The sequence below is a fragment of the Homo sapiens genome, chromosome 1 (genome assembly GCF_000001405.40).
Source record: "Homo sapiens chromosome 1, GRCh38.p14 Primary Assembly".
NCBI classification, from domain to species: domain Eukaryota; kingdom Metazoa; phylum Chordata; class Mammalia; order Primates; family Hominidae; genus Homo; species Homo sapiens.
Window position 1 is genome coordinate 97570855 of NC_000001.11, and position 13493 is coordinate 97584347.

Sequence of the window (13493 nt, forward strand, 5' to 3'; positions counted from 1 at the left end):
ACTCTCTAGAATATAATTTGGCACCTGGCATTCATTAGGTACTCAGTAAATGTTTGTCACATGCCTGAGCAAAAATTTAGGATGAAAGGAGGTCTTCTGCGAAATGGGGAGTGGAAAACTAGATTTAAGAGTCATTTTTACACAAAAAGGAAATAGTGCCTACTGTAAGTCTAGCCACTGTCTGGCACAGAGAAGTTCATTTATATGTCTTGAGGAATGAATGCACGTATGAATGGATAAATGAAAGAATGAACAAGACATTCATTTCACTGAAGAAATAAATACGATAAGGAGAGAAAATGAACAAATTCTGAACTTTGGAAAGTAAAAAGCTAGAGGAAGAAAAGCAGTCAGTGATAGGCTTGGAAAGGAATAGTTAAAAGAAGCAGCAAGGTAATAGAGTGTCACAAACAAGAATATGCTCTAGTTTTGTTTCCAAGTCTTTTACATTATTTCATTTTAATTCTGACAATAGTCCTGAGAGGTAGAAAGATAATGTATTACTACGCTTTTTTTTAGTAGATAAAGAAATTGAGCCTCAGAAAGTTTAAGTGACTTGGAGGAGAGCATTTTAAACAGAATTCTTAACATTATCAATCATAAAATGCAGAAAATATACTAAGGACTGAAAGGATGTCACTGCATTTGGCATGCAGTTCACTGAAGTCTGGGCAAAGTGAGGTTGAAAAGGAGAAAAGTGGAGGGGTGGAAAGAGAAGTAAACATTTTAAAAGATGAATGCATTAAAACAGGTATCACATATGTGATAATCACTAGGTACCATCCAGAAATGACATGACATAGTGTTAGGATGGGGAAGAATTTATGGTAGAAGAGGATTAACATGAATATCTTCTCTTCTTACCCAAATGGACATCTTGCTTCCAATAAAATGCTTTTCATTTTATTTTACATATATGTGTGCACATGACAGTTTTCTGACTTTGAAACTATTAAGATTTTAAATCCTATTGAGTAAGATCTTCTTGATCAAATTCTAACAAACACTGCTTCTGTGACTCCTTTATTTAATGTTTTCCATCCAAAAGAACAGTACTGAAAACATTTAGATGGGAGTCCAGGAATGAATGCTATCTCACACTGCAGCTCTGCCAGCTCCCCTCTCACTTGGAGAATAACTTCTTATTAAAGTAAACATGGAAGGCTCCTGGTAAAGTTAGTAATTCTACTTAAGGATAATTTCTACAGGCAGTTTATTATTTCAAACCAGAAGAGGAAAAAAAAATAGCGAAGAAACATTTTTTTCCTTGACTTCTCTAAATTTATAAGAGGTGGCATATGTGAAGTACTAGAAGAAATATACACAGTAAATTCTGGAATAAAATGCATAAATTCTGAAATGACCTAGTCAAACTTGAATAGATCAAATTTTCTCCTTCTTCATATTTTATATGCTAACTTAAATCTTTTATTCTTCATACATACATACACAAATACACATGCCTGCGCGCACACACACACAAGCACAAGCTTATAAAATCGTATCTGAGATTGCAAAAGCTGTTTTCTGAGCCAAATCTGTTCAGGTTTGTTTAGGAAAATATAATTATTATTAATATTAGGATTGTCAATTATGGAACACAAATTTAAATAGTTAAGCTAACCTTTTTGGATAGGCAAATAATCAACAGAATTGCTAGTTAAACATGATTCAACATTTTACTCAATTTTTGGTGATGTACATAGTATTTAATAGTAAGAAGAATGGGATTTTTAAGATAATATAAGCACTTTATATATCATTCTTTTTTCCTTCCTGAATTCAGTTAAATAAATAAACTATACTCTGACTGTGTCTACATACCACATAAATGTCTAGATAAAAAGTGACAAATTTAGGCCATCATCCAGCTATTTGAAAACATTTATCTCGATGACATTAAACATCTGGATGTTTCCACATACCAAGATGTTTGATGCCCTGCAGATAAAATATCTGATGACTAGTTGAATCCTTTACTTATCTGTGGCATAAAAATATACATTTTCATGTATATATCTCTTCCAACTTCAGACAAAAAATGTAATTTTAGCATGGATATAGTAGGAAGTCATAGGAATCATCAGGTTTAGAGAGATTTTTGGTATGGTTGTTCTTAATGAATCTCTGACCTAGAAAAACATATTTTATTTTCCCTTCAGAAAACAAAAGAGTTAATTGTCATTTCAATAATGTGAATTAAAAGGTAAAAGGATTTGTAAAATGAAAGTACCTAGATACATAAGCTTTCATCTACAATGACCCACAGAAACACTGTATGTGGGAAAAGTATAACATAAAGTAGTCTTACTTGACTGAATCATTATTCAGTTGAAATGTTATATAAAACATTTCTTTCTCTCATTATCTTTTTAAAAAACATTTTGTTTTTCTTAGCATGCTCATTTATGCCATCCAGGTGAAAATGACAGACATTTAAACTTTCTAATTTGATAATTCTGACATCTGAAGTGATGATCTGGCACAAGGATGGTAATAAACACAAATTCTATTTTTGGCCATTCATTAGATTTTGATTTGTCTGAATCATTGAAGACTGGCTGTTCCAACTACTCTGCCTCATTTTCTTACTCTAGTCTAATTGAAGAAAAAGCCATTCTTCTATAAGAAACAAGGCAAATATCATTATAGAGTAGAATATGTGTTTTGGTTATAAGCTTAAAAGAAAGATTAATGTTCTTTTCAATACTTGCCACTTTAAAAATAATTCTATATAAGCATTAAATAACATTTCTAAGCCTTTTGAATCAAGATTGCTTTTACTTCTTAACTAGAAGAGGAAAATAAATTTTAAAGTGAAAAACAATTCCCTGAAAGCTAGAAACTATTACAGCACTAAAATAACAGACAATTGCATCACACATTTCAGCTCCCAGCACTGTACCTTTAGGATCACTCAGAACTGAACCAAAGGCACTGATGACCACATCGGCTTTCAGATGGACCATCTGATCTTCATCTTCATTCCATTTTCCAGTTTCATCTTGCTCTGTCCGAACAAACTGCATAGCAACAATTCTCCCACCTTTTACTATAACCTTCCGTGGGGACAGGAATGGCAGAAATTCACACTTTTCTTCCTTAGCAAGTTCCATCTAAAACAAAACAGAACAGAGAAGAAACTTGAAAATGTTTCTTATTCCACACAGTATTTGATTTCTAATTGAATTACACATGCTAAAGCTTATGATATTAAGTCAATATGCAGCTTTTTCTTTCACCAAACCTGAGTTTCAGTTACCAGTTATTTGCATTTTGTAAATCACTGACTCAGGGAGTCTTGAATTGGAGTTGTAATGTGGACGTTTATAGATCACGGCATCATAAGGTATTTCTCAAGTTTTAAGTACTGCATGCTCTACATTTGGTAGTTTGTGAGGTTTCTGACCATAGTAGCCTATTATTTTTATGTTTTCAATTCAGTAGATTAAGGTCTCTTTTTTTAATCATGCTGCATATTAAAATAAATACTTCTGTTTATTACCAGGTTGCATACATCCAAGCTGGAAAAAAGTCAATAAAGTGGGTGAGCCAATCTGTGCAAGTACATGATTAGAATGGTAGGTAGGAGAAAAAGACTAGAGAAACTCTGTAGAACTAAGAAATAAAAAACATTTTTTCTTCCCTTTATAAAACCACAGAAGCAAATACTATAAATGAAAAACTGAGGACAGCGAAACAAGCATGTCCTCCTGATGAATGCCCAGTTCTTCCCCATTTCCTACGTAATTCATTTTGCCATAAAATCTGGATACCTCGGTTTCTGTTTGTTTTCATATGCATAATGGAATGTTCATTGAGACAGAATATTAATGTTTACTCATTTGCTTATTTTTCCATTAATTGTTTTTGGAGAAATCCAGGCCTTTGTCAATGCAATCAGAAGTACTATGTTGAATGTTCTTTTTTTAAAAAATGCAAAAATGTCCTACTGAAGTGTTTTGGGATGTTGTCTTATTATTTTCCTTCACTCTGAAAGCCAGGTAGATTCTCAATAGGCTCCCTGGGTAATGTTTCCACTGAGGTTGTGTGTATGAGGCTTCAAACTAAGAGTTATCTGAGCTTTGTCAAGATGGAAAAACTGAGACATAAAATAATTAACTCAATGCTGTAATCAAGCCATGGGCCCATCTTTCAACAACCTATCCAGAGCTAGTGCCATGCATCACAATCACCTGGAAGGCTAATTAAACCAGACTGCGCAGGCCCATTTTCAGAGTTTCTAACTTTGGAGGGTTAAGTGGGGACTGAGGATTTGCATGTCTAACAAATGCCTAAGGTGATGCTATGCTTCTAGTGCACAGATGATACTTTGTTAACCACTGTCTTTATTAGATTATAGCTGACTGGCTCAGCACTTGTTCTCTATGATGCATTTTCAAAGACAGGAATATTGCCCCTAGGGAGCAAAAATTAATTCTTGGGGGAAAGAAAAAAATCCTCAGATATCATAATGGTCTTGTCCCTTCAAGAAGAGCTAAAGTATGTAAACAGTTATACAGTATATCTATGGTATTAAAATCATAGCAGGGAGGATTAAGAAAAAAATCTAAAGATACTCCCAAAAAGGGTAAGAAGAAAATGGTTGGGAAACACTGATCTATACTATACATTATTTTGAAGCTATTCAATCTATGTCTTATTTAGGATATTTTTAATATTGTCATTAAAGGCTTAAAAATTGGAACCACATAAAAATTATTACACAGTCTTTCCCTTTTTATTATGAAAATCAAGAAATTAGCAATATAAAACAAAACATGTGGGATGTTATGCTGGTAAACATACAAAACAGTTGATATAAAACTGCTCACTCCTCAGACAGGAAGATTAGAGGTAAGCGGAATTGAATCAAATTTGAAAACTGCTCTGCTGCTTATTTGGGATAGTTTCCTTATATATAAAATGGGGAGAACACCATCTCATTAATCGGTATGTGTGGTGTTACTTAAAACAACTCCAAAATGTAAAATGCCTAAAGCAGAATTTAGCATATAGAAGGCTATGTACTCATAGTTGCTATTTTCTGAATTCACTTTTTTTTTCTCTGAATCATTCTTCAGCTATTCAATATCACTTAGAAATAAGATTGTGATTTCAAGAGAAAGGTGGCCCAATAACAAAGGTTAGTAAAAGGCAGCACAAAGACAAACCTTAGACTCCTCTTTAGTTTTCTACAAAATAAAAATGTATGATTTCTGGAAGGCAAATTATTCCTTGAATAATTCAAATTACAAAATAAATATGATTCCAATATGTAAAATATGTTTTCTGTATCGCTTTTGTCATATTTGTGCCACATATCACCTTATAACTCATCAATATAAACCAGTTTATTGTGTTTCAAAATGTCAAGTGGTGCTACATTTTAATGATAATGCCACACTTGACTGAATAACAACTCCAAATGTTTATGGTTTGAATAAATCAATATACAATGTGTACCTGTAACAGTACTGTTTTCTGTGGAGGGCAGAAATGAAACACTGAACTATGCTGTACCTATTGGGAATATGTCTTACAGATCGATTTAGGATCTGTTTGATCCCACTCTATCTTTGCTATCTATTAATACCTCTACAGTATCTGTTATTACATATAGATAATCTCTTATATATTTTGGCAAATTTGGCATTAAATTTGGAAACAAAAAATTGGACATGACTAAATCAAAAACTTCTATGAATTTAAAATAAAGATTATTAATCACTGAATGCCTAAGCATGTTTTAGTAATGTTTAGTAATGTTCTCACCATGGTTTTGATTTTTGAGGACCTTGTATAACCATATATAGTTACAAACATAAAAAAACTGGCTTTAGCATATGCTCATCTATGTGCCCCAGGTTTGATTACATGTATTCAAATATCTGGCATTCTTACCAATTATCCGACAGTGCACTGGGGATGGCATGAGCACTGGACCCCACAGAGATTCATCTGCATTTTTGCTTTTGAAACTTTGGAGATTTTCTTCACTCACTAGTACATGTAGAACTAGACTATTAAGCAGCAGACATAAATCACACCACTTCTGCTATTTAGCTCGATAGCTAGATTTTCCATTTTACATAAGAAAGGGAAAATTGTTTAAAGAAAAAATAGTAATATCATTTGCATATATATATTTGTTTGGAAAGTATTAATATTGGGAGAGTGAGATCATGTTAAGATTTATCTTGGGAAATAGGGAAATACTAGGACAATGAAAACACAGGGTAAACTTGTATAGTGAATGCTTATCATTTTATGCTGCCTTGGCATCTATTTTAAATATAAGCTGGACTTTGTTATAGCAGAAGAAAGATTCAGTCACCCTTGACACACATAGTTTCCAATTCTATACTCTACCTCCCTGCAGCACCCCCGTTTCTCAGTGTGGTGGATCAAGATATTTCCCTTATACACCTGCTCCCTGATCACCACATCCCTATGAAACGAGTAGATGCAGCCTGCTGGACTGGTCCTGCTGACCCTCCACCCTGCATGGACTGTGCAGACACACCACAGTGACTGCCTCTCAGTCAATGCTTGACGTCCTGGAACTTGTGCCTGCTTGCTTTAAACCAACCAGTTAAAATTTCCCACGAGAAACCTGTTTGGATAACGCCCTGGACCCATAAATAAAGGCACTGGCCCGCAGGTCCCATTTTCTCTCTTTCTCTTTCTCTCTCTCCATGCACTCCTAACCTCCGTGTGTGTGGCCTCTGTGCATTATGTGTACCCCTTCAGGAACTGTAAGTAATAAAATCTTTATTTCCATCTTGAGCCTGTCCCAATCATTGAAGGAATGCTCTCATCTTAAAGATCCTAAATTAAAATTGACATTACATGTGAAGTGAAATATACTTTGAAATATTTTTGGACATTATAAGGATTTACTTTCACTATTTAACAAATCTATTATTTGTCTTGTTATAAGTATTGTCTTATTATTTTTGTTATTTTTTATTTTATTTTAATTAATTAATTAATTAATTTGAGACGGAGTTTCGCTCTGTTGCCAGTTGCCCAGGCTGGAGGGTAGTGGCAAGATCTCAGCTCACTGCAGTCTCCGCCTCCCCAGTTCAAGTGATTCTCCTGCCTCAGCCTTCCAAGTAGCTGAAATTACAGGCACCCGCCACCATGCCTGGCTAATTTTTGTATTTTTAGTAGAGACGGGGTTTCACTCTGTTGGCCAGGTTGGTCTCAAACTCCTGACCTCAAGTGTTCCGCCCACCTCAGCCTCCCAAAGTACTGGGAATACAGGCGTAAGACACCACGCCCAGCCATAAATCTTGTTTTATAAGAAGATAAATAATAATGGTAATAAGTATTTATAACACTTAAAAGTATTCTTTTAAGTGCTTTACAGGTAATTCACTTAATCTTCACACAGAAAATACATATAATGCTTTACCTGTAACTCAATCTTCAGACAGAAAATGTTATGACACCCATATATTTGTTACAAAAAAAAAGTATTTAGCTTCAAACCGACTTTGTCTCCGTGCTGTGGTGCAAAAAGCCAAAACCGCACTGGGCATCATCATGATTTTACAGATTTAGCATACAGCCTTAGGCACACTGCTGCTTGCTGGCCTCACAAAGAAAAAAAAAATCTGTGGACAAGCATTATTTTCTTCCTACAGAGGAGAAACTGAGGCTCAGAGAAGCCAAAAATACACTAAGGGATGAAAAAACTTATCTGAAATTAGGATCTGGCTGAAACGAAATCCTATGTGATCTTCATTATGTCCAAGAATAACAACTGTAGTATATTTGAAATAATGAGACTGTATGATTCTAGTTGCTGAACCTCAAACAAAGCAAAGTGGAAAAGGAAAAGCTAAAGTGAAAGGTGAAGGGCTTGGCTAGACATAGTTCCCTTTGTGGGAAGAGGAGACTCAAGCTTCCCAGTCTAAGCTCATTTACAGGTACTATAAAATCATGAAATATAGGAACCACATGATGGATTTATGAACCCAATACTGTAAACGAGTTAATAGAGACACCTTGAATCCAGATAAAGAGTAAATTTAGAACAAAAAAAAGTACTACTTCACAAAGTGGATATTAGATACACAGAACATATTATCTTAAGATACAAAATTTAAAAACTAACAGAATTTAAATAAGTTTGTTCGATAGTAAACTCGTTCTCAACACTCTTTAGAGGAAGAATACCTTATTTAACATTCTATCCTTTATGTCCAAGAGTGATATTAAAATAGTCAACAATTGATAAGTATAAGCCCATGAACATTAAGATAGACACCCAGCAAATCAGAATATATGCCAGTCAATAAGCCAACGAAGAGGCATCAAGTGAATGTCACATGGAAGGACAGGGCATCAAGACTGGTCACAGCCCTACCTGTGTCTATCAAAATGATTGGCACACAGTAGACCTTGAATACAGTTTTGTTTAGTAGAATGAAGGACAAATTATTATGAAAATCTGAAGAACATTCAAATTAAGGAAAGTACAACCAACTAGTAGTATACTGAGTGAATGGCTATTAAACATCCATCCCAATGTAAGTAACAGGACACAGCAGAAGACATGCTACCTGCCCAGATCATCCTATGTTGCGAGGTTGAAATAAAAAAGCAAATGGTGTTCCTCATCAGTTGTCAAGTTATGCTGCTATCAGAAAACATGGACCAAATTGACCTGTGGTCTAACCACATGCAGCGTTACTGTTTAAATTAACCAGCCTTCTGTGACAAGTAATTCACACATGTCAGTGTTAGTGCCTTTTAACAACTAATGTTTGTCAATAATCATTAATAATCAGTAACTCTGAATCTGGATATGAATGCTTCTCCTCATGGCACCCATATATATTTATTTGTTTGATGGAGCATGTCTTTATGAGGGACAACTGGTTTATCAAGCAAACATGCCAACCTCTCTTTTCCTAGTCTCCACCAATAAAGTAGTAAGCAGCTATAAGGGTCCATTTTTTACATTTGACAAATCAGGTTGTCACTTTCTTTTTACACAGTAGTGGGAAAGTTAAAAAAAATTCTCAGCTTTGATTTTCACCTCCATATTCAGGAAAGATATGTGGCTGATGCTGAGTGAAATAAAAATAGCATGCTATAAACTTGCAATAATGATCATCATTTTAATGATTAACTTTATGTAATGCGATGATTTGGTCTGATTAATATTACAGGCATCATACTCTAGAAATTATGAAACAACTTAATTTTCTATAATTAAAAGCATGATGTCAACTCACTTTTAGATTGCACATAGGCAAAGCAAGAATAGGTTATAAAGTATAATGAGCAGAGCTCAAAACCAGCATATATTAAATTCTGGAATAACTTCTAATAAGCCAAAGTTTGAGAAGCAATATGAAGAAACAACATTCTTTATAAAGGTTACCCTCTAATACTAATTGACCATTTATCCATTCTATATGAACACAAAAACCTAAAAATATTATTTAGAAGCAAAATTGTTTAGAAGTCCACTTTGGCCAGTGATAAACCTAGAAAATATTATCTCATTTCATCACTGTTAAATTATTGGATGTACCAGAAACATTCAGAGCCATGTGGTAAGAGCACGCTCTATGCATAAATCTAACCAAACATTTGTTAAATATTATGTACAAAAATAGTGCTGTGAGCTACAGTTAAAATAAACTCTGCCTTAAAAATCTCATAGAAGCAGAAAATCAGCATTTGTAGGTAATAATGTATGACAAACATTATTTGCTTGACCCAACTTTAGTCAGGTTTCTGAACCTTTTCCTAAGCCCACTTGTGTGCTTTTTTGTAAAATCCAGATTTAGCAATAACCCTGCTAAGTCAGTTTAGCAAAATCCCTCACCCTTGATATCTAATCATCTTCAATATCTCATCAGGTACCTCATCCTCCACTATGACCCAGGTGATGTCTTACCCTCGCCTGTCTTCTGCAAGAATCCTGTTAGATTGATTTAGCCAACAGGATTAAGCCTTACCTTGATGTTTCCTTTCAGTAATATTTTATCTACTAACCCGCAACCTACTCCTTGGCTATTACTTCCTACCTCCGCATTCTGTATTTGGAGTTTAACTCGCATTTGGGGGATAAAAAGTGTCATCAGATATTGATAATGGAGGGTTCTTGCTAAAACTGCACTTTATGGGGAAGTACACAGGTGGGCCTTGGAGAAGGTTTAGGAGCCTGATTAAAATTTGGCCTTTGGGAGGCCAAGGCAGGCAGATCACGAGGTCTGGAGATCCAGACCATCCTGGCTAGCACGGTGAAACCCTGTCTCTATTAAAAATGCAACAACAACAACAACAACAACAACAAAAATTAGCTGGGGTGGTGGCGGGCGCCTGTAGTCCCAGCTACTCAGGATGCTGAGGCAGGAGAATGGCATGAACCCGGGAAGTGGAGGTTGCAGTGAGCTGAGATCGCACCACTGCACTCCAGCCTGGGCGACAGAGCGAGACTCAGTCTCAAAAAAAAAAAAAAAAAAAAAAAAAAAAATTGGCCAAGTTAGGAATCTTTGTCATGTGTAAAGGCAGTGTACTTGAATGGCACATAAATGGGCATTTCACCTAGCAGTAGTGCAGATCAAGGAAGGGCAGCATTGCTGGGCATGGTAGCTCAGGCCTATAATCTCAGTGCTTTGGAAGGTTGAGGTGGGAGAACTGTTTAAGGCTATGAGTTGAAGACTAGCCTGGGTAAAATAGAGAAACCTCATCTCTACTAAATTTTTTTTAAAAAATTTGCCAGGTATGGTGGCATCTGCCTGTAGTCCCAGCTACTTGGAAGGCTGAGGTGGGAGGATCTGTAGAGCCCAGATGTTTCAGATTGCAATGAGCTGTGATCACGCCACTGCATTCTGGCCTTGGTGACACAGCAAGATCCTGTCTCAAAAAAAAAAAAAAAAAAAAAAGAAAGGACAGCATGGAAAAGGTGCTATATAAGCTAATCTTGAAAGAAAAGTAGGAATTAATCACTGGAAAGGAATTAGTTACTAGGAAGTTCTTGTATGGAATCCATTCTCTCTCTTTGAAGAAGTGGGTGTGGAAGGGTAAAGGAGTTTATCTCAAGAAGAAAAGAAGGAAAGCAGCTTGGTTAAAGCTCTATGTAATATGTAAACATCCTACTGGGAAACAAACTATTGTCATTTATAAGTGGAAGAGTCCTTACCAATGGAATGCTTTTGGCATGGCGTATCTGTTAGTTTAGGATTGCTATAGTAAACAAACCTGGAAACGTGAATTTAGGGGGCATAGATCACTATAAAGAGTAATGCAAGTTACATAACTATCTGAGTATAAATTAGATGTCTCATAAGTGAAACAAGTTTTTTGACCTAAGTGATGGAGCTACTTACATGACTTAGAGACCACATGTTAATCTGGTTTAGAGCAAATCCTAATGCAGCAAGATAGAACCTGAGGAAATCTGTGGGCAGTGGTCCTGCACTTCTTGTTTACCTGAGTTTGTTTTTAATTGTATCCTTGAAGTTAATAATAAAGTTTGATACAGAGTGATATTTAATTCATATGAATTTGATTTCACAATCCAATCTTCTAGTTATCTTGGTTACCAAGGACATGAAGGAGGGTAAAGGAAGAGGCATCAAACTCGGCCCATTCACACTTGATCTCATATTCTTTAATTTACTAAACAGTTTTTTAATATTTAGTAATTTTTGACTTATTTTATTTTGAGTGGTGAAATGCAGAACAATTTTTATATGTTAATTAATCTCTGGCCTGTACAAGCAAATTCTGCAATTATTCTTTTAATTAGGCAAAAAAAGTTTGCTGAGACCACAAATTGACATTCCTTCTTTTAGTACCTGGTATGGTATTACAGGCTTCATTCACATATAGAATGTTTTCATTTTAAGTTTTTTAAAGTTGAAGAATCTTGAACATAAAGAAACATTTAACCAAATGAGAGTTGTACTACACATTGGATAAATATAGTCGTCCCTTAACTGAGTCCTTACTAATTTTATTGTGTCACTATTGTGCTGCAAAACCCAGATATGCAATGTAAGGAATAATTTAGAGGCTTAAAATGGCTTGACACAACTATCATTAAATACATCTCTTTTAACAAGTAAAGGGTTGATTTTTTGTTGTTGTTGTTTGTTTTTTGAGATGGAGTCTGACTCTGTCGCCCAGGCTGGAGTGCAGGGGTGTGATCTCCACTCATTGCGAGCTCTGCCTCCCGGGTTCACGCCATTCTCCTGTCTCAGCCTCCCGAGTAGCTGGGACTACAGGCGCCCGCCACCACACCCCGCTAATTTTTTTGTATTTTTAGTAGAGACGGGGTTTCACTGTGTTAGCCAGGATGGTCTCGAGCTCCTGACCTCGTGATCCACCCGCCCCGGCTTCCCAAAGTGCTGGGATTACAGGCGTGAACCACTGCGCCTGACCAAAAAGAGTATTTTTAAACACTATTCATTTACTATTGATGACATTTTCTTTTTTTATTATTATTATACTTTAAGATTTAGGGTACATGTGCACAATGTGCAGGTTAGTTACATATGATGACGTTTTCTTAAACCTAACACCTATTTTCTTCATCTTAGGTTTTGATGGATTCAAGCCTCCCTGGCAGCTGTTGGAGTATCTCACAAAACTACGTTCTGTGTAACTTGGTGCCTTTGTAGTTCCTCCTTTAATCTTAAAATGCCTCCATGTACAAATTCTTTACAAATTAGGATCATCTGTTTTCTGCCACCTGCTAATACTCTCGGATTCTAGTAATTTTTATTATTTTTTGCTTTTTTATATATTGCTTGCTCGTATTTCCTTTTTTTTTTTTTTTTTAGTTCTCAGGTATCTTTTAAGAGACTGAAAACTAGGGATAATTTACTTTTTTCAGTCTACTTTTAATGTTAGATTGACATAAAAATGTGACGCAATATTTTTTTTAACAGTTTAAAATAAAATGTGTACTTATTCCAGTCTATCATTGTTGGACATTTGGGTTGGTTCCAAGTCTTTGCTATTGTGAATAGTGCCGCAATAAACATACATGTGCATGTGTCTTCATAGCACCATGATTTATAATCCTTTGGGTATATACCCAGTAATAGGATGGCTGGGTCAAATGGTATTTCTAGTTCTAGATCCCTGAGGAATAGCCACACTGACTTTCCACAATGGTTGAACTAGTTTACAGTCCCACGAACAGTGTAAAAGTGTTCCTATTTCTCCACATCCTCTCCAGCACCTGTGGTTTCCTGACTTTTAATGATCGCCATTCTAACTGGTGTGAGATGGTATCTCATTGTGGTTTTGATTTGCATTTCTCTGATGGCCAGTGATGATGAGCATTTTTTCATGTGTTTTTTGGCCGCATAAATGTCTTCTTTTGAGAAGTGTCTGTTCATATCCTTTGCCCACTTTTTGACGGGGTTGTTTTTTTCTTGTAAATTTGTTTGAGTTCATTGTAGATTCTGGATATTAGCCCTTTGTCAGATGAGTAGGTTGCAAAAATTTTCTCC

The 13493-nt window shown here is 35.5% G+C and overlaps 1 protein-coding gene across 6 annotated transcripts in view; it reads right to left on the reverse strand.

The window, feature by feature from the left end:
- Positions 1–13493, reverse strand: part of DPYD (dihydropyrimidine dehydrogenase) — an 843317-nt gene that overhangs the window by 493112 nt on the left and 336712 nt on the right. For all 6 annotated transcript variants that reach the window (XM_047448077.1, XM_017000507.2, XM_005270562.3 and 3 more), the window contains one exon: positions 2906–3116. In XM_047448077.1, coding sequence (XP_047304033.1) covers positions 2906–3116 — 211 coding nt within the window. The remainder of the gene's footprint in view (positions 1–2905; positions 3117–13493) is intronic.